Source organism: Homo sapiens, chromosome 2 (genome assembly GCF_000001405.40).
Source record: "Homo sapiens chromosome 2, GRCh38.p14 Primary Assembly".
Taxonomy (NCBI): Eukaryota; Metazoa; Chordata; class Mammalia; order Primates; family Hominidae; genus Homo; species Homo sapiens.
Genome location: NC_000002.12, coordinates 20,200,797 through 20,228,296, shown reverse-complemented (window position 1 = coordinate 20,228,296; position 27,500 = coordinate 20,200,797). Strand labels below are relative to the sequence as shown.

The window sequence follows — 27,500 nt, the reverse complement described above, 5'->3', positions numbered from 1 at the left end:
CCCAGTGAGAGCCAATCCTACGGTGCATTAGAGGAGACATACGCCAGTGTGGCCTTCAGACAGTTCTCTGAAAAACCTCTCCAACATGGCTCCTTCTAGCCTACACCTCTTTTTTGGGCAGGAATTGTCCCCAAACTTAACATACAGTCTGGGGCTGGGAAACTGGCTGGGCTGCCTCCTAGAGGCTCTTTGTAGCAGCATCTTCAAAGCCATTCCTCTCACCGTCCTCCTGAGGCACCTCTTCTTCCTTTTTCCAGTTGTCCTCCCCATACTCTTCTGAGATGATTCACTTAGTCTTATACAGAAGAATGAATTCATCAGTGTATTTTTAGGATTAGAATTGCTGGCAAGTGAGAGAAAATTCAGAGAAACAGTGTCCTAAACAAACAAAAAGAGACATTTTCCCATCATGTATAAGTCTGCGTGGGCAGTCCAGGGATGACGCTATACTCCATGGGGCAGGGACCCATGCTTCCTTTAACTTGTTCCTCTGCTGTGGATGGCCTCTGTTCCCATGTTCACTTCATGGTCCAAGAAGGCTGCTTCAGAGGCAGCCATCAGATCTGTATTCCGCCCAGGAGAAAACAGAAAAGGGAAGGAGAGCATGCTTGACACCTTTCTGAAAGTGCATGTACCACTTCTGCTCATGTGCCACTGGCAAGACCCTAATCATGTGGCTACGCGTGGCTGTAAGAGAGGCAGGGAAAGGTAATCTTTATTTTAAATAGCCATAAGCCCAATTGAAATTTAAGGAATCTCTTACTGAGAAAGAGGAAAACAGATGTGATAAGTAAACAGAAGTGTCTGCCCAACCAGTCGGCAACTAAAGGCTTCAGCAAAACATTTCCTAATGGGAAGGATGGTCAGACTCAAACAGCAATAAGATATAATTTTACTTGCATCAGCTGGCAAAATATAAAAGGCCCAACACCAAGTCATAGGAGGATGTAGAAAAATGGAAATGCTCATAACTGCTGTTGGGAGTGTAAATTACTATAAGCCCTTTGGAGAGCAATTTGCTTAGAGCAATTGCTTACAACAATTCCTGAGAAAGTTGAAGATGTTTATACCTATAATCCAGAGCTCTACTTCTAGAGAAAGCCTCACACATGCACTCAAGAAGACAAGTATAAGGGCCAGGCACGGTGGCTCACGCCTGTAATCCCAGCGCTTTGGGAGGCCGAGACGGGTGTATCACCTGAGGTTGGGAGTTCAAGACCAGCCTGACCAATATGGTGAAACCTTGTCTCTACTAAAAATACAAAATAAATAAATAAATAAAAAATTAGCCGGCCTGTGGTGGCGTGCGACTGTAATCCCAGCTATTTAGGAGGCTGAGGCGGGAGAATTGTTTGAACCCGAGAGGTCGAGGCGATTCTCCCTGCCTCAGCCTCCCGAGTAGCTGGGATTATAGGCACCTGCCACCATATCCGGCTAATTTTTGTATTTTTAGTAGAGATGGGGATTCACCGTGTTAGCCAGGCTGGTCGAGAACTCCTGACCTCAGGTGATCTGCCCGCCTCGGCCTCCCAAAGTGCTGGGGTTACAGGCGTGAGCCATCGCGCTTGGCCGTGAGTGACTTTTAAAAAATGAAAAGACTCCATCAAATCCTCCCTGACCCCAGTTTCCTCTGTTGTGAGCAGTAGAGAAAGGTAAGATTCCAAAATTCCTATTTTTCCACCATACTGGGTTGAAGGGATCTGTGGAGCCACCCTCTGGTAGAGGTAGAACCTTCGAAAAGGGCATTTTTAATCCACAGGGACTCCTCGAGCTCGGCTGGACCTCCGTGGTGCCGTGCTGTGAGACCATCCATCACTCAGGCACTCAGCGAGCCCACATCGGCCCCCAAGAACCCTGATGAAGGTCTTCCTGCCCCCTAGACAGACTTGGGGAGACGGACACCCCAAAAGCGAGAGCTCTTTGAGGTCAAACAGGTGCTCAGGAGCAGGGGTACAAGCAGGCCATCATCTTTTAGTGCTGTGAGGAGGAGTGGGGGGATGAGATGGGGACGCAGGAGGCTGCTCGGCTCCAGAGCCTGCTCCACGGTGGAAGGTGGAGGAGAGTCCAGGGTCCCACGGTCAGTCCCTGCGTGGCCCAGGAAGGTTTAATTCTTTTAAAGAGGAACACTGGACACTTCCCGATATTTTCTTGGTCCCCAGCTCAGGCCGACCCAAGTTCTTGCCTTCCGCCTAGGGAAGACAGGGGAGGACGACGCCATCTTTGGTCTCAGGGCCCAGGTGCGAAGGTCGTTTGGCACCATCTCTCCTGCCTGCCAGATGTGGGCAGGGCCCGTCCGGTTCTTCCCCTTTGCTCTCTCGGCCGTTTCCCCTACACCCGCAGGCCTTCCACAGCTTTTTGAACTGAGGCCCAGGGCCTCGCAGGGGATCTCGAAGGAGCAGCAACTGCACGGTGCTCCTCAGATCCGCGTGCCCGAGGTCACCGGGGAACAAAGAAGTTACTTATTTTTCCTTTTAGCTCAGATGAAGAGAGAGGGCGTTGTCTTCCACAGAAAAACGCTGCGAACTCCGCCCCCGTCCCCCTTTTTCTTGCAGCCCTTCCGTGCGGGTGCAGCTGTTTAAACTAAGGCCCCAAGTCTCCAGCACTTTGTGGAGTGCAGGAAGAACGCGAGCGTACGGGAGAATCTGGGCCGGCGGGGCGCAGCGAGCCGCATCGCAGCTGGAGGACAGCCGGGGTGTGTCTGTGTGTGTTTGCCCGTCGGTTGAAGGCCCCATCGCCCCCGGGTCCCCGCCCTGCCCCAGAAAGCGTTCCCCAAGAGAGCTAGGAGTCCTGCGCACCTGGAGCGCGCTCCGCGTCCACGCCCAGAGGGCGCTGCACACTCGCGCCCGAGGACTGCCTGCCCCCCTTCAGCCCCTCTCCCGGGCTGCGCCTCCGCACTCCGGGCCCGGGCAGAAGGGGGTGCGCCTCGGCCCCACCACCCAGGGAGCAGCCGAGCTGAAAGGCCGGGAACCGCGGCTTGCGGGGACCACAGCTCCCGAAAGCGACGTTCGGCCACCGGAGGAGCGGGAGCCAAGCAGGCAAGAACCTTAGGAGCGGGCCGGGGGTGGGGCGTTCCGAAGGGGCCGGGAGGGGTGGCTGGGGGGCGGGGTCCTGGGGGGTGTGGACTGGGGCTGGCCGGGAGACCTGGCGGAGCTGGGGGTGGGGGGCCAGTTTTTGCAACGGCTAAGGAAGGGCCTGTGGGTTTATTATAAGGCGGAGCTCGGCGGGAGAGGTGCGGGCCGAATCCGAGCCGAGCGGAGAGGAATCCGGCAGTAGAGAGCGGACTCCAGCCGGCGGACCCTGCAGCCCTCGCCTGGGACAGCGGCGCGCTGGGCAGGCGCCCAAGAGAGCATCGAGCAGCGGAACCCGCGAAGCCGGCCCGCAGCCGCGACCCGCGCAGCCTGCCGCTCTCCCGCCGCCGGTCCGGGCAGCATGAGGCGCGCGGCGCTCTGGCTCTGGCTGTGCGCGCTGGCGCTGAGCCTGCAGCCGGCCCTGCCGGTGAGTGCGGCCGGCGGCCAGGCGGGGAGGCGGCGGGAAGCCGGGACTGGTCACCCGCGGATGCCGGCGGGTGCACGTGGAGGGGGAGGGGGAGCGAAGACTTCCCTTCTTCCCGCGCTAGCCCAGCGGGTCCCGGGACGGTGAGCCCCGAGACCAGGGCTCCAGCCCCAATTTCCTCCGCTGTCGGTGGGTGCCGCACCGGTCCCGCGCTGGGGAGGGTGGGGGGCCGGGGCCCCGCGCTCAATTATGTAAAACGTCTCCACATCTGTCGGAGCCCGCCAGCCCACAGCGGCGCCCGGGGTCGCCCGTTCCCACCCTCCTCGCCCCGGCCACCGCGGCGGCCGGGCCCCCGTCGGTGACCCGGGGGGATGCAGTGACCGCGGCCACAACGCCCCCCCTGCAGACCCTAATTCAAACCAGACCCGCGGGCTTGCGCCCCAGCGCCGCCGAGCCCGGGCGCCCCGCCCCTTGCGCCAGGGCAAGTTTGGGCGCAGCGCGGCCGGCGCGGGAGCGGGAGGCGGCCGCGTTGGCCCGGGGAGCCGGGCCAGGGCTGCGTGGGGGGCGCGGGCGAGCGTCTGCAGGGCCCTCGGGCTTGCCGTGGGCGGCTCGAGGTGAGCTGAGCCGGCCCGGCAGCGGGAGGTTCCGGGAAGTTGGCCTCGGAACGCTGGAGACCCGGAGGAGCCCAACTTCTGGGCTGCTGAAGTTGAGCTGGCCCCGGAGGGCGCGTTCCCGTGCCGGGCACGGCCGAGGCGCAGGCGCCTTCCACGCGAGGGGACCCGGGAATGGCCTCCCGCTCCCCGGCTCGGCTTTGTGCTGAAGCCGCGCGGAGGGAAGGCGGGTCCCTTGGCCCGCCCAGTGCAGCTGGGAGAAAAGAGGGGCAGATGTGGAGCTCGGGGCTGTAAGAGGCCTTTGGGTGGGATGCAGCATCCACCTTCAGCGGGGCTGACGCTCCACTAAAGAGGGACGTGGCCGACAAAGAGCAGCCTGAGGGTCCCCAGAAAGTGGCTCTCCCGCCCCGGCCACCGGCCGCTAGCCCGCCTTCCCCAATGGGGGCGCTTTGTTCTCGGCCCCTGTAACCCTTTCCTGGGAACAGCCCCGTAACGCCGGCCTTGACGGGGGCTGGGACCTGGGCCGCAGCCAGGTGTCAGCGCGGGCCGCCCGGTGCCCGAGTCTGCCGCCCGAGTTCGCCTCCCCAGCCCCCGCGCCCGGTGCTGGCGTCCCGGGGTCCCTCCTGCGGGCCGGCTCGGCCATCCCCAGGGATGCAGAGGGGAGGTGCGGAGCCAGGGGCGCTTCCCCTTCCGGAAGTGGCGGTGTCTCGCCACTACATCTGGACAGTTCGACTTCCCCAGCTCTGGCAAAGGGAGGCACGTGGGCAGGGAAGGGGCGGGGGCGGGGTGGGCACTCGGGTTCTCCACTGCTAATGTGGCATCTGGACAAGTCTCAGCAGCGCTGACCCTCCGTAAGCGTTGCCTCGTGTAGTAGCTGCCAGTTATTGAGCGCTTTGGTTTTTTTTTTCTTTACAGAGTCTGTCTCATGGGAGATGAGGTAGGGACAGTCGTTTCTGAGACCGATGTGTAAAGCGCCCTCCCTGCTTCCCAGGTGACTCGTGCTTCCAGACATTTTCCGGTCCAGGAGAGGTCCCTGTGCCTATTGAACTGTGAATGGGCTGGACTGTGAGGGGTATCTGGGAGCACGGGGAGGGCCATGATTTCCGAGCTGGGTCTCATGCACTCCTGGCTTTCAGGTCCAAGAAGCTGCTCTCTAGGGTGGTGGTTTCTGTGGAACTGAGACTGTGCTTGGAGTCTTCGCTCCGAGTTTGGAGAAGAGAATGGAGCTGGGTGCCTTACCTCCCTGGACCGCTGGGCATCACCTCACTGCCCCATTCTCGCACATGATGGGGCCTCAGCAGGGGCGGCTGAAGTTGGGTCCTCCACCTATTTCCGGCTGGATTTAGGAGGGCTGCTGGTTCCCTTGCCTGCCTGGGGTAAAGCAGACATTCCAGAGCCCTGGGATCCCACCGCACCCGTTAATGCTGGGGAGGCAGGTGGAGTTTGGGCTTCCCCGTGAACTGCCTTTCCTGGAGTTTTCTGTGGGCTGGGGCAGATGCTGCAGTGTGAGGCATTATTTCTTGCCCAGAAACTTGGACATAGGGCCCAGGAGGCAGGAGAGTCTCAAAAGGGGAAAGGAGGGAGACTCCCTGGAGCTGCAGGGAGGGAAGGCTTCCTGGAGGAGGTGCTTGAGCTGAGCCTGAAAGCCCCACCTGAGCTTTGGGGTCAGACTCTGGCTTGAAGCTTAGGTGTTCTTTTTGCTTTTTCTGATCTTACAAAGATTAGTTTGTTTTCTCTTTCCCAGTTCTGCCCTCTTCCTCTTACAGTGAATGTCCATGTTAGGTTAAAGGTGGGGGCATGCACTGCCTTCCCAAAGCTCTGATACCCCTTTCCTAAAAGAAATCAGGCAGCTGGGATTTGCTTTAAGATGGGAGAAGGTATTTGCAAGTGGCAGAGATCTGACCCTCTCTGAAAGTTCACTCTGGCCCCAGTGGGAAGCAGGTCAGAAACCCCCTGGGGACCAGGGAAGCAAGGAGTGACTGAATGGGTGAGGGGAGGCTGCTAGGAGAGGAGGTTGCTCAAAACCACTCCCAAGAGACTAAAACAGGTTTGTCTAAAAAGGTTTCTCTCTCTCTTTCTCTCTGTGTGTGTGTGTGTGTGTGTGTTTACTGTGGTCTTTTGTTTCTGCCATGTAAGAAAAATGGCTTGTTCTGGAATAGTTATTTGCTATTTTTCATTCTTTCTCTCTTCTCTTTCTTGAAAGGCATAAAATCCCTTTTGCCCTAATTATGGGGGCTAGTAGAGACATTTTCCCACAGCCTGGCAGAGAGGGTATGGGGGGAGGCACTAGCTGCCTCCGCTCAGGCTCAGAGCCTTCTAGAAGTGATGTCATCCCTGGCTTCAGCTCTACAGGGAGGGTGGAGCGGTTTAAGTCTCTACCTGTGGCTCATGATGGGTTCCAGTAAAACCTCATTAACACACATTGGTAGGGAGACAGTAAGAAAGGAGAGAGCCTGGAAAGAATTAATGAAAAGCTTGACTTCTGCAGTTTTTTAGAGGAATCTTTTCTGTTGCAGCAGAATTTTGGATTCCTGAAATCCCTTGGGAATGAGGTGTCCTGTGTATTCATATTTTTTCATCAAGCTAAGAATCCCTATTACCCTCGAGTATTCTTACTCTGGGCATGACTCTCTGAAGTATTTATTTCCCTTCCTTTATCAACCAAAAAATGCTAGGCATGATTTAATCTCTGCCTGCCAGGGTCGTCCTCCTCATCATTGTGCTGGGTTAGGACATTGTCTCCTGGATTTACTGTGCTCTGAAGAGCACTTTGCCCCTCTGCCTGGTGCCCCAGGTTGCTCTGTTTTGAATTCTGGTCTTTCTCCTTTTTCCAGAGAGCAGCCAGAAGTGACATTTATGTGCCTGAGTGTAGCCAGCAGCTTTTCTGATCAGTTCTAATTTGTTACTTTTCTCCAGTGGCACTAAGAAACTAATCAGATGAGTTAGGCTTATTTCCAAGCTGAGAGTTTTAGGCTCTGGGTAAGGGCCTTGCCTGTGAGTGAGACTGATGATCTGTGATATGTGGATTTTGTACCCTTCATGAACTTCAGCTGGGACCTGTTGCAGTCTCCCCTCTACCTCCCTGCACCCCACCTAGAGTAACAAAGAGGTGCTGCCAAGGTGAGGCCTTTAGGGGCCTCTCTCAGTGGAGAAAAATGAGTCATCTCTTGGGGGAAGTGCTTGCTGACCCCCATGTTCCAAGTTCCTCGACCTGGTTTGACTTGTAAGTGACTTGCTGGTCACAGGTAGCTGGACTGACCAGCTGAGGGCCATTATTCTTTAGCCTTGACTGTTACTCTCAGCTTCGGTCATGCCCCCAACTCTTCACCACATGTTTGATTTGGATTTTAGTTCCTGTTTCTATATAATGTGCATCCATACTGTGTGACAGGCCAGAAATGGCTTTGGATTAAGTAGAGCCCCAGGACTGAGTCTCAACTCTGCCACTAATTTACTCCATAATCTGGGGTGAGTCACTTTCCTTCCAAGTCTTGTTGTCCTCATCTGTAAAGCGGACATCATGATACCTGTTCTCCCTGTCCTCATTCTGTCATTTGCGTATTCATTTCATAATGGATATGTGAAAGTACTTTGTGATGAAACCGCCTGAGGAAAGTTAGCTGTCGATATAATTAAGGTTACCTTTTTTTGAGTGCCTACTGTTGAGTGCTCAGTACTTTTCTTTCATTCTTATTTGAACTTTACCCAAAACCTTTACAATATATATCATTGCCCCACTTTGTGGATGAGGAAGCTGAGGCCTAGGGTGGCGGGCCCCTCCATTGGCTGAGACAGGATTTGTGTGTGTGTGTGCAGTGTGTGTGTGTGTGCGCATGTGTATGGGTATGGTGTGAATACATCGCAAGACTGTCAAGTCTCCCCTGAGAAGCCTGGCATTTGGGGGCTGGCTGAACCCTGCAAGGCTCTACTGGGCATTTGCTGGTCCGTCCTGAAGACCATGGATATGAGCGTTTTGGGCTGAGGGGGCTGGGCCAGGCTGAGCTGGCCTGAACAGTGCCATCAGGCAAACAACACTGGGTTGGGTTCAACTGATGGCCCCTCAGGGACAGGCGAGAGCTCCTCACAGGAAGTAAATTGGGACCTGAGAGAGCAGGGTGGGAACCATGTGGACTGGGTGTGGAGGGGCCTGTTTGGATGGCGCCCTCAGGCCAGACCCCAGGTGGTGCCCAGCTTGCACCATCTTTTACCTTGGGCGCTGGGGAAACATTCTTGGAATTAGCAGATTCTTTTGTAAGCCTGGGAGGCGGGCAGCATGGCGCGGGTGGTGGCCAGAACCCAGGACTCCTGGCTCTGGTGCCACAGTCACCTCCTGGTCCCCTCCAACACCAGGTCCTGCTGGGGGTGGGGACAGCCCATGAGGAACTGGTCATTAGGCGATTGCCGGGCTTCAACTGTTGCCCGATTGCCTTCTTTTCACCAACCAGTTTTGGAATCTTGGGTTGAAAGGGCCCCTGAGGCCCTGAGAGATTCAGGGAGTTTGTGGAAAGAGGGCTTTGGTGCTGGGATCCTGTACCCTGTCACTTCTCTCTCAGCTGTTCCAGCAGAGGTTGGGTTTTGGATGGGAGCATGTATTCTGGAACCTTCCACTGAATGGGACATGCGTGCCCTGACAGGCTCCAGGGGAAGGCTGATGTGTGTATGCCCCTCACCACAAGGAGGTATGTTTGGGGTGCAGGTTGTAGAGGTGAGGCCGCAGAGGCAAGACCCTGGGCTTGGGGCTACTTCAGCAACTGTCTTATCCAGCTGCAGGTGGTCATGGGGCCCACGCCATCGCTTCCCCTGGAAGAGTGAGCTTTACCTGTGATGTTACTGCTTTTGCCCGCCCTCAGGAAGCTTTCATTTAGGTGGAGAGACAGTGTGAGAAGGTCCCTGGCATTCCTGAGACAGGTGCACCGGGTCAGCTTGCCTGTGGTCAGTACTGTGGGGATCTCGGGGAGGGGTGGCCTGAGCCTCCCCTGGCAAGTGTCCTGCTTTTTGGCAGGGCCTGTAAGGGTGGGGGCAAGCTTATGGGGCAAGGGGGGTGTGCCGTGGGAAATCTTGGGTCTTGGGGCCATTGAGTCAGGAGAGCAGAACAGGCGGCGGCTGGACCTGCTCCTGCACTCAGTCACTTGCCCAGCGACCTCTCCTGCTGCGCTCGGGGCTTCCCGAGGCTGCCACTGGTTCCTCTCCCCACTGGGAGCCCCTCAAGGGTCTCTGACCTCCTGGCTTTTATGGCTTCGTGGCTGCCTAATTTTGTGTAGAGGATGGGCCTCCTCTGGCCGTCAGCCCTGGGAAAAACTCTCTGCCTAGTGATTCACCTGAGGGTTGCAGCACCATGAGATGCTGTGTGTGTGTGTGTCTGTGTGTGTGTGTGTCTGCGTGTGTATGTCTGTGTGTATATCTGTGTGTCTCCATGTGTCTGTGTGTGTGTCCATGCATCTGTGTGTCTTTGTCCATGTACGTGTGTGTGTCCCTCTATGTGTCTGTCTCTTTGTGTTTGTGTGCGTCCGTGTGTGTGTCCGTGTGTACGTGTGTCTCTGTGTGTGTGTGTGTCTGTGTGTTTATGTGTCTGTGTGTGTCTGCGTCCGTGTATATTTGTATCTGTGTGTGTCTGTGTCCGTGTATATGTGTGTCTCTGTGTGTGTGTGTCTGTGTGTGTGTGTGTCTGTGTGTGTGGTGGGGGGGTGCTTACTGCACAGGTTGCCACTGCATTTGGGCCTTGCCTGGGCACTCCTGACTTGCCTTCCCCTGTCAGGCTGCAGTCTCAGTTTTGGGGGGCCTGGTCACTACCTGGCTGCAGCTTCCTTTTCAGACACCAGCTTCCTTTCTGCCTCCCACCTCTGCTGGTGGCCTTTTCTCTTTTTCACTGTGGCTCTGACATCCATCATGGCCTTGGCCTTGGAAATCTGTGGGAGTTATTCCTACAGAGACGGGCAGTCAGGTCACCTGGCCTTCCTGGTTCAGCTGAGCCCCGACTGTTTGGCTGTGGCAGGCCATTGCCTCTCTGGGCCTCAGTTTCCTCCTCTGCCAAAGGGTCGTTCTTCCTGTCCTCAGTTCTGAGAGCCACATGGTTACAGAGAGACCTTATCCTGGGAAGGGCAGAGGTGGCACTGAAGGACTTGTTGGGGGCTCACATTTCTCTGCCAGTATTCTTTCTTGGGACTCGAAGGAGAGTTGGTTGCCCAAGGGGTCATCGGTGGGATGGGCAAGGCCAGTGGAGGGCAGGGCAGGCTGCTTGAGGGGTGGATTCGAGCTCCTTGTGGGAGCTGGAGTGGACAGAGGTGCCTGGGTGACGTTGGGCCAGGGCTGGGGCTGTATGATGTTCTCCGCACACACACCCAAGAGTCCTGGCACCTGCCCGAGGTCCGCTCAGCAGCAGGAATGAAGGCTGTGGCGGGCAGGTTGGGGCAGTGGGGAAGGCGGGCATGTTGATCAGTCCACTCATCAGCTGAGTCATGGTGCCAGGGCCACGGGTCCTCCCCTGAGACTCACCCAACCAACCTTGATCCACTGCAAGCCCTCTGGGGGCCGGCACGAGGCAGAGAGTGCAGCAAGACACAGCCGGGGCTCAGGGGCCTGGCTTTCTGTCTTGGCCCTGCCTCCTCTCTCTCGAGTGACTGTGTACAGAGGCCTCTCTTGGTCTCAGTGAACCCATCTGTGACATAGGGGGAAGGGGCTGAGAGGCAGAGGTGAGGCAATGCTTTTGGGTGTGCATGGCCTCTTGTGGCTGTGTCGTGTGACTGGTGGGTATCTGGGGGCCTGCCTGTGCTCTGCTGCCTCAAGTTCTGAGGGCTTCATGAGACCTATCTGGCTTGACCAGATCTAAAGCCCAGATCCTGGGTACCTGCTGTGTGCGTAGCCCTGTGCAGTGGTGAGAGTTCCATATCTGGTCCAGGGGATTCCTGTAAGAGAGGGTGGCTGTTACTGGAACCAGACGAGAGAGGTGGTCTCTGCAGTGACAATGAACGGGATTCGCGATTCAGCACCTGTCACGTCTCCCCACAGGAAGGGTTTTGTCCCAGAGTCCCACGATACAGCAGTATCGAACTAGGAGCCTGGGCTGTAAGGCAGGACATTTTATGGAGCTCCAAACCTGTGGGGCTGCCTTCTGGCCATGGGAAGTGTCAGGGCAGGGGGTCTCCCTGAGGGAGCTGCAAAGGCTGCCAGTCCTGCTCTAGGACCACTCGTGTGCACCATGGATCTCCAAAGGTGTTCAGGGAACTCTTCCCCACGGTGGCGTGAGCTTGAGTTCATAGTCATTTCCACGTGGGGCTGCCTGGCTCTCTCTGTGGATCTTCTGTGCTACTCAGCAGGCTGAGAGACAGAACTCTGGCGCCTGGCCTGGGATGCGTACGGTGAGGATTGCACGTCTGCCAGGGTGGGATGTGGGGAGGTTGGAGGAACTTCTGGAGGGCCGAGGAGCTCGTGGCCAACTATGGCATTTGTCATGAACTGGGTCCCAGAAAGCCCTTTAGAACTTGGGCCCTGGCCCTGCTGTTCCCATGCTACCAATACCAGTGGTGGCCGCTGATGCTCCAGGGACCTTACCTGGTTGGGGACTTGATTGTGTCAGAGTGGCATTGACTCTACCTCCAGTAGCTTCCTGTCATCCCTGCTGCCCAGGAAACTGTCCGAGGCCTTGGAAGGCCCATCTTATCTGTAGTGTTCCAGGCGAATATGATGGTCAGGTTTGGGCTTGCAGGGCCCGAGGTTGTGGGGCGTTTCAGGAGCCTCTGAGACCTTCCTAGAGGCTGGTGTCATTCCAGCTTCTCCCAGAGAAAACCGCAGGGTGCAGTGCTGCTGTGATGGTGACCATATCTCTTCCAGGATGGGGTATCGGGGAGGGTCCGGGCGGCAAGACCTCAAGGCTGGCCAGGGCCTGCGGGGCTGAGGGCCAGGCTGGGATTGTGGGCCGTGCTTGGGCTGCATGAGATCTTCAGGCCCTGCCCCCCACCTTCCTCCCTGAAAGGGACTTGGGGCCTGGGGGAAGAGCACAGGAGGAGTTTCCCTGGGGTCAGGCCTGGAAAGTCCAGGAAGCTCACCCCTGAGTCTCCTCGGGTGAATCTGCAGCAGTGACTGGTTGTCTTGGGCTCAGGGAATTGTAGAAAGGGCATAGAGCCCCCTGCCTCCCTCCCCACCTCCCGTGAATGAGGTTCATTCTTAGAGATCTTGTCTGGAGGCTGGGCATGCAGTGGGCACTCTGGCCCACCTGTCTTCCCTGTGTAAGGCAGTCACCTGAGCCTGAAGGCCTGGGCCTTCCTGCCTTTATTGAGTCCTGAGACCTTGGGGCTTCACAGCTGAGGTGGGACCGAGAACTAGCTGGCGTGGTTAGTCCCGGCTCGGGCTGGAGTGGAGAGGTGTTGTGGAGGCCAGGAGGAGCACAGGACACGGAGTCTAGCCCACCTGGATCACATCCGGACTTCATTGCTTCCTCCCTGTGTCATCGTGAGCACGATTCTTCACCTACCCCAGCCTCAGTTTCCTCATCTGTAAAATGGAGTTTCTCATATCCTGCCCCAGAGGGCTTTTGCAGAGGTTCCATGAAATACCATATGTGATATGATTGGGGCCCCTTCCTTGCCTAGAGCACAGAGAAGCAAGTCTAGGGGAGCACTGAGGCTGACCTGTGGGAAGGGGTGCAGTCTGACCCAGCCTGAGCGTGGAGTCACTCTGTGTGAATGGCCTGCTGGTCTGACCCCAGTGCTGCTGACGTTAACAGGGCCTGCAAACATGGCTTTTGCCCTTCTCAGAAACATGAGCCTTCACTAGCAGGCTAGACTTTGCTCTCTTCCACCCGAGCCTCTGCCAGGGGCTGCCTCCTGACCTGAGAAGGTACGGGCTGGGTTGCCTCCTGACCTGAGAAGGTATGGGCTGGGCTGGCAGATGGGAGAGGAGGCCAGGCAAAGCCAGACATTGGGGCACCCTGGCAGGGGCTCAGGCCTGCTGGGCAGGACCCCTAGCAATGGGGCACGGTGGCCTGTCCCCAGAACTTCAGACTGATGGCTGTCCTGGAGAAGGAGCTGGGTTTTCTATGGATGCCGACAAAGCTGGGCCAGACTGCAGGGTGCCACCAGTGGAAATGATGGCTGTTGTCTTCCTGAGAGTGAGAGAGCCCTGTGGGCTTCACTGTGATGGGTGGTTCATGGCATGACTGCCAGAGCAAGACTGCTGGCTTCAGTGGCTGTGTGCCTTGGGACAGATGACATAGCTCCTTTGCCTCAATTTTCTCATCTGTAAAATGTGCATGGTACTAGAACCTAAGGTGACTGTGAAGATCAAACTAATTAATTCAGAGAAAGTGCTTGGAAAAAACTGATTGCCAGCTCCTCTGGCCCAGAGGACTCAATAAACATTAGCTATGATCACTTTTTCTCCCTAGAGCCTAATTCAGTTGTTTCTATTCTTCAAGTAATCTCCAGTCCAGATCAGAGGCTTAGACTCTTCTTCCACCACACCCCCTGCCCACCAACTCCCCTGGTAGTCCCTGAGCTCTGGGCAAGGCATGTGGCTACTTCCCTTTCCTAGGGTCATGCTGAGCTTTTCAGACTGGAGCTGTGTCCACAGTCTCCCTTTCAGCCATCTCAACACCCACCGTGTGCAGAGGCTGAGAGGGCTAGGAGCTCTGTGCTGGGGGTTGGAGGCTGTGCAGATCTGCCAGCCCATCAGAGGGAGGGCAAGCCACTTGACCTGGGGCCCTGCCAGTAATCTGGAGGATCCACCTGGCTTCCCAGGTGGCTTCTCCCTCTTCAGAGAGAGCCGTCACAGAAAATTCTGTCTCCCATCCCCCAAACCAGAAGGGACCAGCCCCACCCTCCCCTGGGACTCCTTCAGGGACACTCTGCCTTCCCGTGTCTCTGGGCTTCTCAGCAGCCTCAGTGCTTACTCAATCTGAATTGTTCTTTATCTGAGAGGCAGGTTCCCAGGCTAGCCCATTGTTCTGTACGTGGGAGGAGAAACCGTGTACATCTGTGACTCCAGGAAGAGCAAAGAGAATTTCTTCCTCCTTTCCTGGGTATGGCATTGTTGGCATCCACATTTTGACAAAGGTTAAAAACTTTGCCCTTGACATCTTCCAGCCTCTCTGTTGTAATCCTGTTCCCTCTCCCAGAGCTCCCACCTACCCGCAGTGGCCTAGTTCCAGAGTTAGCCCCTCCCCACCTGGAAGTGATTTATGCTGTAGTGTGAGTGCTGGTACCCTTTAGCCTTCCCAGAGGACTTGTTTTCAAAGGGATATTGTGCAATGACAGGGACACTGATAGGAGAGATTTTGGTAATAAAGTTGGAGCTTGTTCCCCTCCCCCACCTTCACACACAGCTGGAGCCCTGGCCGGCTGCAGGTGTGTCAAAAGTGCAGTTTCTGCCTCTGTGAAACTTGAGGACACTTTATTTAGCAAGTACAAGGGGGAGGATGTCCCTAGAAGTCCATCTGGCAGAGGTGCCCCGGTCCCCAGGTCCGGTGGCTACCCATTCCAGGGGACCTGGTGGGGACTGACAGGGCTGGGCTTCTCAGTAAGGGCCGACTGGGGAAATCTTGGCTGAGATTCTGACCTTGGTGGGCTCTTTAGGGCAGACAGGGCTGGGGGAGGGACAGTGCTTTGGAGGCTTGGCTGCCCCCTCTGTCCCCATAGGGTGCCAGTTGCCCCACGGTCACCTTGATTTAGGATATCTCTGGCATCCTGCCTAAGCCATGACTCCCCTTGGGAAGCTGAGGGTGATGATACCAAGTCAGTGTGATCGAGTGTCCTTGTGGGTCCCTAAGTGGGGGGTGTTTGGCGAGTCTTGGGAGACAGATCCCTTGTTTGGCTCTCGGAGCAGAACTAGGCACTGAGGCTGCAGGGCCTGGGTTGGGTTGCTTTGCTCATCGCCTGCCTGGATGAAACCTTGCCCTGCCTGGCCTGGCCCGGGTTTTGCCAGGGGGGGAAAGCAGAGGAACTGGTCTTCCAGCTCCACGGCTCCACGCCCAGCCCTCAGCTGAGCCTGTTCTGAGACCAGTCCTGGCATGTGGGCTGCTGAGGCAGGCGCCAGCTCTGTGGAAGGGTAGGTATGGGGGTGCTGGGGGCAGCACTGGCTTGGCTTGGGCATCGGAGCTGGCATGAGGCTGCCAGGATCCCTCCTCCTTCAATAAACGCCCCCGGTGTACTGTGAGCAGGCAGTGCGGTGCAGGGCAAAAAGCCCAGGGCTGGGAGGCTCGGCTCTGCGACCTTGACCTCAGGCTTCCCATCTGTAAAGCCCTGACCTCACACTAAATGGAAAATATTACCCGAAAGTAGTCTTGAAGGCCAAATGTGAATGCCGTCCCTCCACCCTGGCCCTGCCCTGGAAGCCCCCAGGACAGTGAGGGGTCCGTCTCCAAGTGGCAGGGTGGGGCTGTGCTTGGGGGTGCCGTCCAGAGTGTCCCCGAAAGGTGCTCCTCCTCTCAGAAGTGCTGCTGGGGACAGCCTCCTCTTCCTGCCCATTTCTGTCTCCCTCCTGCCCTGGGCCGGGCCCATCACTCCCTGCCTGTCATACCCTCGGCAGGCCCCGGCTTGCCTTGTTCTCAGTAGAGAGCCAGTGAGCTGATAAATTGCTGTGCCTGTCACCGGAAATGCTGATGCTGCCTTGAGGCCCCAGTGAGGCCCCTCCTCCTGGGAATGGCTTCAGTGGGGGATTTCGGGTCTGGAGGCCCAGACCCCATCTGCAGCCTCAGCCTGCCTCCCTGGCGGGCTGTGTTTTCCCGGCTCCTGAGTTCGGAAACCAGCCTTAGGAGAGGAGTGATGTGTCTAGCACTTCCTCCACAACCCCGAGGCTGGGGGAGCCCAGTGTCTCCTGGCCTGTGGCCCTGCCCTGCTGCCTACTCCCACGAGTCCCACCATTTTGGCCAAACCTCCGTTGTACAGATGGACAACCTGAGGCAAGGTGTTTCTGGCACCACCCCGTAATTTAGGGACAGAGGCCAGACTGTCACCAGACTATCCCCATGTTGGACCTGGTCATTTTCCCTGGGCCACCCTCTGGTGATCAGTGCTGTGGGTCCCTGAGGAGGGGGCATTTGGAGAGTCTTGGGGGACAGAACCCCTGTCTAGTTCCCAGAGCAGCACCAGGTGCTAAAGCCGCGGGGCCAGCCTGTCAGCCGTAAAGCACTTTAGCGTTATCCACCAAGCCCCTTCTGGCGTCTAGGTGGAGAACAGGTCTAGAGAGAGGCTGAAAGCTGCCCAGGTCCCCAGCACGGGAGCCGCATGGCGGATTCCAGCCCTTTCCCAGAGACCCTTGCTCCTGGGTGCTCGGATATGACCTGCCTGCTCAGTGCTTAGGCCGTTTTCAGTCCAGGCTGAAGGAAAGGGTCACAGGGCTCCCCACAGAGGGAAGGCAGCCACAGATCCACACTGCAGGGCACTGAGGCGTTCGGAAGGCAGTGGGACTGGGAGAGGGTGTTGCAGCTTTTTCTCCCGTGCCCTCCCACTGGTACCCCTGGAAAAGCAGGACCAGGCCCTGCAGCCTGTGCTGCCTTCCAGGCCCAGCCTTCGTCCCCGGAGCCCACCTGCCTGTCAGCTCCAGCAGCTGTCTTCTGCTCAGCCCTGCTGGGTCCAGCCGGGCCGGCTGGTGGGAAGCCAGTGGGCTCAGCCCCAGGCACGAAGGAGCCTCAGCCCAGCTTCAGGTAGACACTTCCCAGTCATGTAGGTGCTTCTGGATGTTCAGTGGGCCTTCAGCTCCTGGGGGAGGGAGGCTGGGCTGCCACCGTGGTGTGCTATCTATGCGAGTGGACGTGTCGGAAATGTAGAGGACATTGCTGAGCTTTCCCTGGTCCTTTGGCCACTAGAGCTTGTTCACAGGGCTCTGTTGCTACTCAGTGCCTTGACTTTGAACACTGGACTCAAGTGAAACGAGCTCTTGCCTCCTCCAGGCTGGGCCACTCTGGGGGATGCCTTTTCCTCCCCTCATTGTTTTCAAAGTGCAGTCTGAAGACCCCCTACAGGACCTGGGGCTTGTGAATGACAGAGTCAGCCTCTGGGCGGGGAACTCGAAAGACTTCATTTGTAGTGGTCTCCTGGTGATTCTTGGGGACCCTGAAGCTGAGAGCCCCCAGTCTGGATGCAGGTGATGGTTTGGTTATCACCCTCAGCCAGTATGGTGTCTTGATGCAGAGGTGGGGGTAAAGGCTGGGGCTCTGCAGCTCAGAGATATCAGCCCCCAAGAGTCCTGAAGTCTAGGGGAGGGGAGAGTCAGCCTGTTTTCCTTGTATGTGTAGATCTGACTGAGAAACCAAGGGGGTAAAGAAGATTTCTAAACAACTGTGACCCTGTTTCAAGCCTCCTGAGGACATTTGCCATTGTGTGGAATCTCGGGATGGGGAGGGTGGGTGTCCAGCCTGCCATGACCATGGGCCCTCCTGCCTCATGACCTCGCAGCCTGGGCTTCTGGAACAGGTCTGGGTCTCTCCTGTCCACTGGCCCCAGAGCCAGTGCCATGGCCCCTGGTCCAGGTTGCTTGTCAAAGGTGGTGACCTAGCTCCTTTGATAAGGGGCAGCTCTTTATCCCTGGTTTGTTGGGGTTTGTTGATTCAGTGACTGGGCTCCCACAGAAGCCGGGGATTTCGTGGCCACACGGGGCAGGTACAGCTGACAGATCAGCTTCCCTTTCCTGCTCCACCACGAATGACTGCGAATCAGAGGCCCCCTGCGCTGCCCAAGTTAGTGCCTGGGGTGAGCGTTGTCTTATCCTCTCCTGAGTTGGTTTGGGGGCTTCAAGGCCTGGCCTTAGTAGTCCCCTTAGGGAAGCCCTCTGTACTTCAGCCTCTGAAGCTCCCCCTTTTTAAATCCCCCTGGAGCCGGACACCTGGCCATATGTTCTGAGGAGCTGGGAGCTCTGCCGGGCCAGGACCAGACTGTTTCTTCCCTCTTTTCTCCAAAAGCTCCTGGCGTGATCTTGGCTCACTGCAACCTCCACCTCCTGGGTTCAAGTGATTCTCCTGCCTCAGCCTCCCAAGTAGCTGGGAGTACAGGTGCACACCGCCACGCCCAGCTAATTTTGTATTTTTAGTAGAGACGGGGTTTCACCATGTTGGCCAGGCTGGTTTGGAATTCCTGACCTCAGGTGATCCGCCTACCTCGGCCTCCCGAAGTGCTGGGATCACAGGCGGGAGCCACCGCGCCTAGTAGTAATGCTTTTTAAGGGGTTTGTGTTTTACCCATCACTCACTTCAAGCAGCAGGTGACCAATGTCAGTGATTCAGGGTGCGGGCTGGAAACCAAAGGCCTTCTGACCTGGTGGCCTCAGGCTGATGGCGGGGGGTAGATGGGCAACCTCTCGGGTTAGCGACTGGGCCCGCTGCCCCCCGTCGAACCTGTCTGAGATGCCCACTGGACATCCTGGCTTCTGAGGCAGCCAAGGCACTTCTGAGCTGTCTTGCAGAGGAGCTGCAGCGCAGCTGCCCCTTAGCCCCAGGGCTGGCCAGGACAAGGGGCTCTGCTGAGACGGAGGTTGCCAAGGAGAGTGGCCCTCTTTACCTCTGTTACGGGAGCGAAAGCTGGCAGTTGGCTTGAGGCTGCCTTCTGGAAGCTTCTCTGCCAGCTCTCTGCCCACAGACTTCAGATGTGCTCTTTGTAATGGCTGGCAGCCGGTGATGATGACTCCCCATCCCTGGTGGCACAGGTCCCGTTCTGGTCTACGCCATTTCCTCTCCACCTCTCAAATGTGGGCTGGTCCCTGGGTAGCGTCACCACTGGGGCAGGCTCAGCGACTCCAGCTCAGTGAAACTCCATCCCACTGAGGAGCCTTAGACAGGTTTTCCTTAAAACTGATTGGGTCAACTGGTAGGGCTGGGGAGAGAGAAGGGGATGGCAGGTGAGGAGAGCAGTGCTGCTGCACGGGGAGTTGTAGTGTCTGGGCGGCCTTGGGCAAGTCCCTCACCTTTCAGAGTCTCTAGTCCTTATCTGCTAGAGACAGTGATCTCAGCCCCGCTGCCTCATCTGCAGGGGAGTTGTAGGGAAGAAAGAGGAATGGGTGGAAAGTGTTTCCAGCCTTAGAGAAGGCCGCACTCCTTCACACTCTCTTTCTTGCTGGGTCAGAGCCCTGACCCCAGGATTCTCTCCAGGGTCCCCAGGGTATGGCCAGGAGACCAGCATGGCTGAGATGGAGATGGGCTGACCTGACCCTTACTCCCTTACTCCCTGTCCCCAGACTCCAGGCAGTTGCCTCTTGATCCCCCAGCCCCTAGGCGAGCCAAACCTTGGGCTTTCTAATCAGTGAGCTTCTAGGGTCTGCGCTGTGGGTGGGGAAGGGGCAAGGCATCCCTTGCTTTGAACAACAGAATGAGTGGAAGCCTAGATCTTACCTAGCACAAAGTTGTTGATTCGTTCTATGAACAGTTGGTTTTCCTGGGACTTACAGAGGTTAAAGGCTGGTTAGCCTGTTGCCTTCCTGGGCAGGGCATTAGGTAGTCTCCAAGCTGAGGCCACCTGTTCCTGAGCAGCCTTGAGCCGTGGCCAGGCAGCCTCGGAAGCACCCAGGTTGGAGATGATGCTGGGGAGAGCTACCCAGGAGGCCTAGAGGGAGTTTGCTGCCGGCTGTCAGCACAGCAGGCCTGCTAAAGGAAATCGAAAGTCTCACCAGAAACTCCGGGAGTCAGCTGGCACCTTGGTAATCCAAGTTCAAACTCAGCAGTTTCTGCTAATTTCCTCCTCAGGGGGCTGAAATCTCACCTTCTCATCTGAGGGGCTGTCCCAGAAGATTCAAGCTGGAGAAGATTTGGGAGGTCTCTCTAGCCTGTCCCCTTAGTGGAGACTGAAGGCCCAGGGAGGGGAGAGGCCCCCGGAGGCCAGGGAGCTGGTTTCAGTGGAGAAAACATTTGCTTAAGAGCTTGTTGTGTAAACAAGATTGCAGAGGGATAAGCCAGCCGAACTGAGGGAACAAATTGTTTTTAGGGACAGGGCAGACTGAAATGCTTATCTAGTCAGGAGGAAAGCCCTGCTCTTGGGAAACTGCTAACGTGTTGGGGCCTCCCTGGCGTTCCTGGGTCTCACTGGGCGGTGTCTCCCAGGTTGTACATGGGCCCCAGTGTGTGTGTCTTCCCTGTGGGCTTCGGTTGCCTCATTGTTGAATGGAGCATGGATCCAATGGTTCTAGCTTCTGCTGAAAGATTCGGCACTCTACAATGCAGCAGAGGCTCGTGGGGTCGAAGTGCCAGTGCCTTGCCCCATCCCTGCCCCATCTTGAGCTTTCTCTTGGGGGAGGCGGTGCAGCAGGAGAGGGCAGGGCAGAGTCCTTGGATGAGAGTGAAGCCATGATCCCAGTGAGTATGGGTGGGGGTGCCCACTCTGTGATCCCCCGGTGGGCAGTATTCTTTGATGATGAAGGAGACAGGTTGAGGGAGGCCAGGGCAGCTTCAGAGCTCTGGGAAGGCAGCACAGGTGTTTGAAGCACCACATGGAGATGTTGTAGATCGGATGTGGCCTTGTGTGGAGGCGGGGGGAGCATGGACCATGACTGTTTGTTTTTATTGATTGATTGATTGAGACGGAGTCTTGCTGTGTCACGCAGGCTGGAGTGCAGTGGCACAATCTCAGCTCACTGCAACCTCTTGCCTCCCGGATTCAGGGGATTCTCCTGCCTCAGCCTCCCAAGTAGCTGGGACTATAGGCCCGCACCACCATGCCTGGCTAATTTTTGTATTTTTAGTAGAGATGGGGGTTTCACCATGTTGGCCAGGCTGGTCTGGAACTCCTGAGCTCAAGTGATCCTCCCAAAGTGCTGGGATTACAGGCGTGAGCCACTGCACCAGTCAAGTCAATGACTGTTTATTGTAGATGGGCCATGGTGGACTGTGACTGTTCATTGCAGGTGAGCCTTGGCGGAATGTGACTTGTTACTGTAGATGGGCTATGAATTGCCCTTCTAGGGTCAAAACCTTTCTCTTGGGGGAAGGAAGATACAGTTTAGCTTTTGTCCTTTCAAAGGAAGTTCAGTGTTATTTCTGACCTTGTGGTTTCTACACGTGTCTGACGCTTCCCTCTGACCTAGGCCCCTGGACGTGGAGCCTCCACCTGGTCTGGCTCTGCCCCAGGGCTGCCTCAGGAGGCAGGAGGTCTTGTCTGTCCCTCTCTGCTTTGCACTACCCAGAAGTGAGACCCGTGGGCCTGTGGCCAGGGCCTGGCAAGGCCTCTTGGGCTGAGGAGGCCCTTTTCCTTTGGAGCCCAGCCTCAGGTGGGCCCCCTCTGACAAGTCAGTGCAGAGGCTTCTGGTGAACAGACTTCTTCCTGCCCCCGTCTTCTCATGAAACTTTATCTACCTCCCTTTCACCCTCTTTCTAGACAGGCCTGCTGGCATTTGAGGCTCCCCTAGTTAGACAGTGGCCACTGTTTGTGGGTGCCCACTGGGTGCCAGGCTGTGTTAGGCATAGCTTCATTGAATTTTGGCAGCAGTCCTGGAATGTAGATGTTATTATTTCCCCATTTTACAGATGGAGAGACAGAAGCCATAAGCAGTTTAATGACATCCCAGGACCACGCATCTAGTGAGTGGCAGGATCCGGAGTTCCTAAAGCTAGTGCTCTGGACTGTGCTGTTCTGCATATTTTTTCATTCTTTGTTCTGGTCCCAGACATTGGGGCCCTCTCAAGATAGACTGTGTAGTGAGTGGGGTCCTTGGGTCTAAGTCTCGCAGGTGAATAGGGCTCTCAAAGCCACACTTCTCGCCACCTGGCTGCTGGGTTCTCTCTTCCTTACCTGAGGTCTTGGGGCCAGTGTGAAGGGCAGAGGCAGTCCTGACTTTCTGCCCTCCCTGCCGACCAGGGTTCTGCACAGGCCTGCTCACTGTGTGTGGCGTGATCCTGCCTCCCCGCCCCCGCCCCCGGTCCTGCCAGTCAGCCCCGGCCTCAGGAACTGGAGAGATGTGTATATGTTTGCCCTCTGGCCCCTTTGCCTCTTGGAGCTGGGCAGGCGGGCAGCATTCCTGGGACTGCTGTTTGCCAGCAGGGCCCGTCCCAGGCCCACAGCCCACTTCTTGGAGGCTTGTCAGTGCAGGGCCCCTTCCAGATTAGCCTTATATGTCCCCAGCCTGATGGACACCCTGTCCTTCCTTCCCCAAGGAGGATGATACTCTGACCAAAGGGCCTGCACCCAGTCTTTACTATAGACAGGAACTGGGCCAAGTGTGGGAAGGTGTATCAGGGCCAGGCCTGGGGTTGCCCTGTGTGGGCAGACCTGCCTCAGAACAGACAGTTCCTTGTGCCCAGCCCTGCCCCTGCCCCTTGTGCCGTCCTCGGTATCCACACCTGGGGGCCAGCATGCCTGGAGGCTGCCTCTGCACCCAGGTTGTCCTGAGATTGTTCTTGGGGGTTTTTGAAAGCCTCTCAGTGGGGCTGGGTCGGCAATCTTTGGCCCCAAAGCTCCCTGGCTGATGGCCCCCAAGAGCTGGTTCACAGTGTAGGGTGGGCTGATGGGGTCCCATGGGGACCACAGCCTCTGTTCCCAATAACAGCTCCCTGTCTGCCCTTCTGAGAGGTCTGGAGCTCCCTCACCAGACTGAGCTTCTCAGGGTGAGGGCCCTGCCTACTCTGTTGTGCCCCTGCAGCCCTGCACCCAGTACCAGGCTGTGTTGTAGCATCAGGGGATGGGGCCTGGGGACCAAAGTGCTGCCCAGAGCTGAGGGTCCTGGAGCCACATGAGAAGGCTTCTCCCTGTGTACCTGTGCAGCACAGGGTAGGGTGAGTCCACTCAGCTGTCTAGGAGAGGACCCAGGAGCAGCAGAGACCCGGCCAAGCCTTTACTCATACCATATTCTGATCCTTTTCCAGCAAATTGTGGCTACTAATTTGCCCCCTGAAGATCAAGATGGCTCTGGGGATGACTCTGACAACTTCTCCGGCTCAGGTGCAGGTGAGGTTGTCATGGGGGCCCCCCCCACCCAAGACGGCAACAGGTCATGCCTGTGGGCAGTGGTCAGGCAGTCTCCTGTGTTTACTGAGCATGTACTGAGTGCACCCTGCCTGCCCTGTCTCCACCCAGCTGGCTCCAAAGGGCAATGCTGAGGAGAGGAATGGGGTCCGTGAGCTGCCTGGTTAAGGAGAGCTCATGCTCGGAGGTGAGGTGAAGGCTGTGAGCTCCAGAAGGCCCCAGGGCCGCCTGCTGCACGCAGGCTCATATTCACTAGGAATAGCTTTACTCACTAAGAAACCTCTGGAACCCCCTTCAGAAGGTTATTTGACTCCTGAGCCTCTGTTTTCTCATCTGCAAAATGGGAATAATACCTTGACCTGATAAGCTTGTGGAGCTGTAAGGCAGCACAGAGCCAGCTGGGGTGTAGCTCTTCCATCCAAGCTCCCTTCCTTACTTCCCCTTTCCCTGTGGGGGACTGGGGGAGAGAAGTCCCTGAGCTGGAGGTGGTCAGGGAAGCTTCACAGAGGAGGTGGCTCTTGAGTGGACCTCAGAAGAGGGGTGAGAGAGCTAAGGAAGGAGGCTGAGGTCATCCCTGGGGAAGTGACCTAGCGGAGGCCTGAGAGCTGCAAGGTAGGATATCTGTTGTTGGAAGTGTCTGTTGTTGGAAGTGGGGGCCTTTTTTTCAGGGAGGGTGGGGCCAGAGAAGTGTGTGCCCTGGGATAAGTAGGATAACCACAGTAGTTATGCCCCTAAGGGATGCCCACCCCACCCCTGTGGTCACAGAAAAGCTTTCCCAGGTGGCCTAGGCACCTGTCTCGTGGCTCCAGAGACCAGGCTGCACCTGGACACACACAATGGGAAGGGACAGCTCTCCTTGTCCATTTTCCAAGGAGCTTAGCCTCAGCTGCCTTGTCCAGGTACTAGCCTCCCTCATAGCCTGAGCTTGGCCAGCCCAGGTGCTCTGGAGCCTCCCCCGACCCACCCAACACACTCTGCTTCTGGTCCTCCCCACCCCCCACCTCCCCAACACACTCTGCTTCTGGTCCTGCAGGTGCTTTGCAAGATATCACCTTGTCACAGCAGACCCCCTCCACTTGGAAGGACACGCAGCTCCTGACGGCTATTCCCACGTCTCCAGAACCCACCGGCCTGGAGGCTACAGCTGCCTCCACCTCCACCCTGCCGGCTGGAGAGGGGCCCAAGGAGGGAGAGGCTGTAGTCCTGCCAGAAGTGGAGCCTGGCCTCACCGCCCGGGAGCAGGAGGCCACCCCCCGACCCAGGGAGACCACACAGCTCCCGACCACTCATCTGGCCTCAACGACCACAGCCACCACGGCCCAGGAGCCCGCCACCTCCCACCCCCACAGGGACATGCAGCCTGGCCACCATGAGACCTCAACCCCTGCAGGACCCAGCCAAGCTGACCTTCACACTCCCCACACAGAGGATGGAGGTCCTTCTGCCACCGAGAGGGCTGCTGAGGATGGAGCCTCCAGTCAGCTCCCAGCAGCAGAGGGCTCTGGGGAGCAGGTGAGTGGCCTCTGCATTCCTTGGGAAATTGAGTGGGTTGGTCCTAATGCCTGGCACTTGGCAGGCCCTACACCTGTGCCCTGCGGGCATCTCGTATTCCTCACCAGGAAGACAGGGCACAGGGGCCCGCCTTCCCCTACCCCCAGGGCCTCGCCCAGAGCAGGACAGACTAACTATGAGATCAGAGCAGAAGCACCCTTAAAGATCACCCAAGAGAGGGCTCCCCAAACTCACAATCCAAACTTGCAGCCCCTGCTGCAAGAGTGAACGTTATACCAAGTCCAATTTTTTATTTTATAGCTTCGTGGGAATTTTACGCTTTACACTAAAATAAGTCTGCTTATTTCCATACAAAAATGTGTGCTTTGTATCACTTTTTGTGATATCCATGCCATGGTCCAGCCAGGGTCCGGAGTTGATGTGGCAAGAAGGCCTGGCTTTCGGGCCCTGTGCGATCCTGGTTTGGGTGCATCTGAGTGGGTGGTGGCAAAGATCAGGGAGGCAGGAGCTGCTTCTGGGTCTTGTAGTGGAGCTGGTTGCTGCTGCTGGCGGTGACCTGGCCAACCCAATCTGCCCCTGCCCTCCCACAGGACTTCACCTTTGAAACCTCGGGGGAGAATACGGCTGTAGTGGCCGTGGAGCCTGACCGCCGGAACCAGTCCCCAGTGGATCAGGGGGCCACGGGGGCCTCACAGGGCCTCCTGGACAGGAAAGAGGTGCTGGGAGGTGAGTTTTCTTTCAGGGGGGTAGTTTGGGGTGAATTGCTGCTGTGGGGTCAGGGTGGGGCTGACCACAGCCAAGGCCACTGCTTTGGGGAGGGTCTGCAGCAGAGCCCAAGGAGCCGCTGAGCTGAGCTGGCCCCGTCTACCTGCCCTAGGGGTCATTGCCGGAGGCCTCGTGGGGCTCATCTTTGCTGTGTGCCTGGTGGGTTTCATGCTGTACCGCATGAAGAAGAAGGACGAAGGCAGCTACTCCTTGGAGGAGCCGAAACAAGCCAACGGCGGGGCCTACCAGAAGCCCACCAAACAGGAGGAATTCTATGCCTGACGCGGGAGCCATGCGCCCCCTCCGCCCTGCCACTCACTAGGCCCCCACTTGCCTCTTCCTTGAAGAACTGCAGGCCCTGGCCTCCCCTGCCACCAGGCCACCTCCCCAGCATTCCAGCCCCTCTGGTCGCTCCTGCCCACGGAGTCGTGGGGTGTGCTGGGAGCTCCACTCTGCTTCTCTGACTTCTGCCTGGAGACTTAGGGCACCAGGGGTTTCTCGCATAGGACCTTTCCACCACAGCCAGCACCTGGCATCGCACCATTCTGACTCGGTTTCTCCAAACTGAAGCAGCCTCTCCCCAGGTCCAGCTCTGGAGGGGAGGGGGATCCGACTGCTTTGGACCTAAATGGCCTCATGTGGCTGGAAGATCCTGCGGGTGGGGCTTGGGGCTCACACACCTGTAGCACTTACTGGTAGGACCAAGCATCTTGGGGGGGTGGCCGCTGAGTGGCAGGGGACAGGAGTCCACTTTGTTTCGTGGGGAGGTCTAATCTAGATATCGACTTGTTTTTGCACATGTTTCCTCTAGTTCTTTGTTCATAGCCCAGTAGACCTTGTTACTTCTGAGGTAAGTTAAGTAAGTTGATTCGGTATCCCCCCATCTTGCTTCCCTAATCTATGGTCGGGAGACAGCATCAGGGTTAAGAAGACTTTTTTTTTTTTTTTTTAAACTAGGAGAACCAAATCTGGAAGCCAAAATGTAGGCTTAGTTTGTGTGTTGTCTCTTGAGTTTGTCGCTCATGTGTGCAACAGGGTATGGACTATCTGTCTGGTGGCCCCGTTTCTGGTGGTCTGTTGGCAGGCTGGCCAGTCCAGGCTGCCGTGGGGCCGCCGCCTCTTTCAAGCAGTCGTGCCTGTGTCCATGCGCTCAGGGCCATGCTGAGGCCTGGGCCGCTGCCACGTTGGAGAAGCCCGTGTGAGAAGTGAATGCTGGGACTCAGCCTTCAGACAGAGAGGACTGTAGGGAGGGCGGCAGGGGCCTGGAGATCCTCCTGCAGACCACGCCCGTCCTGCCTGTGGCGCCGTCTCCAGGGGCTGCTTCCTCCTGGAAATTGACGAGGGGTGTCTTGGGCAGAGCTGGCTCTGAGCGCCTCCATCCAAGGCCAGGTTCTCCGTTAGCTCCTGTGGCCCCACCCTGGGCCCTGGGCTGGAATCAGGAATATTTTCCAAAGAGTGATAGTCTTTTGCTTTTGGCAAAACTCTACTTAATCCAATGGGTTTTTCCCTGTACAGTAGATTTTCCAAATGTAATAAACTTTAATATAAAGTAGTCCTGTGAATGCCACTGCCTTCGCTTCTTGCCTCTGTGCTGTGTGTGACGTGACCGGACTTTTCTGCAAACACCAACATGTTGGGAAACTTGGCTCGAATCTCTGTGCCTTCGTCTTTCCCATGGGGAGGGATTCTGGTTCCAGGGTCCCTCTGTGTATTTGCTTTTTTGTTTTGGCTGAAATTCTCCTGGAGGTCGGTAGGTTCAGCCAAGGTTTTATAAGGCTGATGTCAATTTCTGTGTTGCCAAGCTCCAAGCCCCATCTTCTAAATGGCAAAGGAAGGTGGATGGCCCCAGCACAGCTTGACCTGAGGCTGTGGTCACAGCGGAGGTGTGGAGCCGAGGCCTACCCCGCAGACACCTTGGACATCCTCCTCCCACCCGGCTGCAGAGGCCAGAGGCCCCCAGCCCAGGGCTCCTGCACTTACTTGCTTATTTGACAACGTTTCAGCGACTCCGTTGGCCACTCCGAGAGGTGGGCCAGTCTGTGGATCAGAGATGCACCACCAAGCCAAGGGAACCTGTGTCCGGTATTCGATACTGCGACTTTCTGCCTGGAGTGTATGACTGCACATGACTCGGGGGTGGGGAAAGGGGTCGGCTGACCATGCTCATCTGCTGGTCCGTGGGACGGTGCCCAAGCCAGAGGCTGGGTTCATTTGTGTAACGACAATAAACGGTACTTGTCATTTCGGGCAA

General features: G+C 57.0%; 1 protein-coding gene and 1 long non-coding RNA gene across 6 annotated transcripts, besides 22 other annotated features; one reads left to right on the top strand and one right to left on the bottom strand.

Moving 5' to 3' along the window:
• Positions 1,840–2,519: an enhancer, noted in NCBI's record as "H3K4me1 hESC enhancer chr2:20425539-20426218 (GRCh37/hg19 assembly coordinates)". NCBI's record gives its function as "activates a minimal SCP1, AML or CMV promoter by ChIP-STARR-seq in primed H9 embryonic stem cells {active_cell/tissue: H9 hESC(primed)}" and the evidence as "EXISTENCE:reporter gene assay evidence [ECO:0000049][PMID:30033119]".
• Positions 2,520–3,199: an enhancer, noted in NCBI's record as "H3K27ac-H3K4me1 hESC enhancer chr2:20424859-20425538 (GRCh37/hg19 assembly coordinates)". NCBI's record gives its function as "activates a minimal SCP1, AML or CMV promoter by ChIP-STARR-seq in naive H9 embryonic stem cells {active_cell/tissue: H9 hESC(naive)}" and the evidence as "EXISTENCE:reporter gene assay evidence [ECO:0000049][PMID:30033119]".
• Positions 2,751–3,130: a silencer, noted in NCBI's record as "silent region_11203". NCBI's record gives its function as "represses an Ori minimal core promoter by ATAC-STARR-seq in GM12878 lymphoblastoid cells {active_cell/tissue: GM12878}" and the evidence as "EXISTENCE:reporter gene assay evidence [ECO:0000049][PMID:35858748]".
• On the top strand, positions 2,822–27,500 carry SDC1 (syndecan 1). 5 transcript variants are annotated; one of them, NM_001006946.2, is made up of 6 exons: positions 2,822–3,035; positions 3,211–3,495; positions 22,873–22,954; positions 24,006–24,484; positions 25,075–25,210; positions 25,362–27,500. In NM_001006946.2, exons 2-6 carry the CDS (start codon positions 3,430–3,432, stop codon positions 25,529–25,531), a joined length of 933 nt encoding a protein of 310 aa, NP_001006947.2. In that variant the 5' UTR covers positions 2,822–3,035; positions 3,211–3,429; the 3' UTR covers positions 25,532–27,500. The 5 variants fall into 5 exon arrangements, with proteins under 5 accessions (NP_001006947.2, NP_002988.4, XP_005262679.1 ...); NM_002997.5 differs by lacking the exon at positions 2,822–3,035 and having other exon boundaries at positions 3,167–3,495; XM_005262622.3 differs by lacking the exons at positions 2,822–3,035; positions 3,211–3,495 and adding an exon at positions 4,839–5,040.
• Positions 3,191–3,610: a silencer, noted in NCBI's record as "silent region_11202". NCBI's record gives its function as "represses an Ori minimal core promoter by ATAC-STARR-seq in GM12878 lymphoblastoid cells {active_cell/tissue: GM12878}" and the evidence as "EXISTENCE:reporter gene assay evidence [ECO:0000049][PMID:35858748]".
• Positions 3,651–3,710: a silencer, noted in NCBI's record as "silent region_11201". NCBI's record gives its function as "represses an Ori minimal core promoter by ATAC-STARR-seq in GM12878 lymphoblastoid cells {active_cell/tissue: GM12878}" and the evidence as "EXISTENCE:reporter gene assay evidence [ECO:0000049][PMID:35858748]".
• Positions 3,731–4,190: a silencer, noted in NCBI's record as "silent region_11200". NCBI's record gives its function as "represses an Ori minimal core promoter by ATAC-STARR-seq in GM12878 lymphoblastoid cells {active_cell/tissue: GM12878}" and the evidence as "EXISTENCE:reporter gene assay evidence [ECO:0000049][PMID:35858748]".
• Positions 4,601–4,800: a silencer, noted in NCBI's record as "silent region_11199". NCBI's record gives its function as "represses an Ori minimal core promoter by ATAC-STARR-seq in GM12878 lymphoblastoid cells {active_cell/tissue: GM12878}" and the evidence as "EXISTENCE:reporter gene assay evidence [ECO:0000049][PMID:35858748]".
• Positions 4,959–5,465: an enhancer, noted in NCBI's record as "H3K4me1 hESC enhancer chr2:20422593-20423099 (GRCh37/hg19 assembly coordinates)". NCBI's record gives its function as "activates a minimal SCP1, AML or CMV promoter by ChIP-STARR-seq in naive H9 embryonic stem cells {active_cell/tissue: H9 hESC(naive)}" and the evidence as "EXISTENCE:reporter gene assay evidence [ECO:0000049][PMID:30033119]".
• Positions 5,466–5,973: an enhancer, noted in NCBI's record as "H3K4me1 hESC enhancer chr2:20422085-20422592 (GRCh37/hg19 assembly coordinates)". NCBI's record gives its function as "activates a minimal SCP1, AML or CMV promoter by ChIP-STARR-seq in naive H9 embryonic stem cells {active_cell/tissue: H9 hESC(naive)}" and the evidence as "EXISTENCE:reporter gene assay evidence [ECO:0000049][PMID:30033119]".
• Positions 12,307–12,931: an enhancer, noted in NCBI's record as "H3K4me1 hESC enhancer chr2:20415127-20415751 (GRCh37/hg19 assembly coordinates)". NCBI's record gives its function as "activates a minimal SCP1, AML or CMV promoter by ChIP-STARR-seq in naive H9 embryonic stem cells {active_cell/tissue: H9 hESC(naive)}" and the evidence as "EXISTENCE:reporter gene assay evidence [ECO:0000049][PMID:30033119]".
• Positions 12,932–13,555: an enhancer, noted in NCBI's record as "H3K4me1 hESC enhancer chr2:20414503-20415126 (GRCh37/hg19 assembly coordinates)". NCBI's record gives its function as "activates a minimal SCP1, AML or CMV promoter by ChIP-STARR-seq in naive H9 embryonic stem cells {active_cell/tissue: H9 hESC(naive)}" and the evidence as "EXISTENCE:reporter gene assay evidence [ECO:0000049][PMID:30033119]".
• Positions 13,855–14,149: a silencer, noted in NCBI's record as "tiled region #13704; K562 Repressive DNase matched - State 23:Low". NCBI's record gives its function as "represses a minimal TATA promoter and a strong SV40 promoter by Sharpr-MPRA in K562 cells {active_cell/tissue: K562}" and the evidence as "EXISTENCE:reporter gene assay evidence [ECO:0000049][PMID:27701403]".
• On the bottom strand, positions 14,470–20,011 carry LOC124905978 (uncharacterized). Its single transcript, XR_007086241.1, has 2 exons — positions 19,689–20,011; positions 14,470–18,898 (listed from the first exon to the last, which is right to left on the bottom strand). It is a non-coding gene; the product is annotated as an uncharacterized LOC124905978 (long non-coding RNA).
• Positions 14,621–14,710: an enhancer, noted in NCBI's record as "active region_15385". NCBI's record gives its function as "activates an Ori minimal core promoter by ATAC-STARR-seq in GM12878 lymphoblastoid cells {active_cell/tissue: GM12878}" and the evidence as "EXISTENCE:reporter gene assay evidence [ECO:0000049][PMID:35858748]".
• Positions 15,181–15,240: an enhancer, noted in NCBI's record as "active region_15384". NCBI's record gives its function as "activates an Ori minimal core promoter by ATAC-STARR-seq in GM12878 lymphoblastoid cells {active_cell/tissue: GM12878}" and the evidence as "EXISTENCE:reporter gene assay evidence [ECO:0000049][PMID:35858748]".
• Positions 15,501–15,680: an enhancer, noted in NCBI's record as "active region_15383". NCBI's record gives its function as "activates an Ori minimal core promoter by ATAC-STARR-seq in GM12878 lymphoblastoid cells {active_cell/tissue: GM12878}" and the evidence as "EXISTENCE:reporter gene assay evidence [ECO:0000049][PMID:35858748]".
• Positions 17,932–18,556: an enhancer, noted in NCBI's record as "H3K4me1 hESC enhancer chr2:20409502-20410126 (GRCh37/hg19 assembly coordinates)". NCBI's record gives its function as "activates a minimal SCP1, AML or CMV promoter by ChIP-STARR-seq in primed H9 embryonic stem cells {active_cell/tissue: H9 hESC(primed)}" and the evidence as "EXISTENCE:reporter gene assay evidence [ECO:0000049][PMID:30033119]".
• Positions 18,557–19,182: an enhancer, noted in NCBI's record as "H3K27ac-H3K4me1 hESC enhancer chr2:20408876-20409501 (GRCh37/hg19 assembly coordinates)". NCBI's record gives its function as "activates a minimal SCP1, AML or CMV promoter by ChIP-STARR-seq in primed H9 embryonic stem cells {active_cell/tissue: H9 hESC(primed)}" and the evidence as "EXISTENCE:reporter gene assay evidence [ECO:0000049][PMID:30033119]".
• Positions 19,183–19,807: an enhancer, noted in NCBI's record as "H3K27ac hESC enhancer chr2:20408251-20408875 (GRCh37/hg19 assembly coordinates)". NCBI's record gives its function as "activates a minimal SCP1, AML or CMV promoter by ChIP-STARR-seq in naive H9 embryonic stem cells {active_cell/tissue: H9 hESC(naive)}" and the evidence as "EXISTENCE:reporter gene assay evidence [ECO:0000049][PMID:30033119]".
• Positions 19,808–20,432: an enhancer, noted in NCBI's record as "H3K27ac-H3K4me1 hESC enhancer chr2:20407626-20408250 (GRCh37/hg19 assembly coordinates)". NCBI's record gives its function as "activates a minimal SCP1, AML or CMV promoter by ChIP-STARR-seq in naive H9 embryonic stem cells {active_cell/tissue: H9 hESC(naive)}" and the evidence as "EXISTENCE:reporter gene assay evidence [ECO:0000049][PMID:30033119]".
• Positions 20,433–21,057: an enhancer, noted in NCBI's record as "H3K4me1 hESC enhancer chr2:20407001-20407625 (GRCh37/hg19 assembly coordinates)". NCBI's record gives its function as "activates a minimal SCP1, AML or CMV promoter by ChIP-STARR-seq in primed H9 embryonic stem cells {active_cell/tissue: H9 hESC(primed)}" and the evidence as "EXISTENCE:reporter gene assay evidence [ECO:0000049][PMID:30033119]".
• Positions 21,140–21,339: an enhancer, noted in NCBI's record as "active region_15382". NCBI's record gives its function as "activates an Ori minimal core promoter by ATAC-STARR-seq in GM12878 lymphoblastoid cells {active_cell/tissue: GM12878}" and the evidence as "EXISTENCE:reporter gene assay evidence [ECO:0000049][PMID:35858748]".
• Positions 26,825–27,325: an enhancer, noted in NCBI's record as "H3K4me1 hESC enhancer chr2:20400733-20401233 (GRCh37/hg19 assembly coordinates)". NCBI's record gives its function as "activates a minimal SCP1, AML or CMV promoter by ChIP-STARR-seq in naive H9 embryonic stem cells {active_cell/tissue: H9 hESC(naive)}" and the evidence as "EXISTENCE:reporter gene assay evidence [ECO:0000049][PMID:30033119]".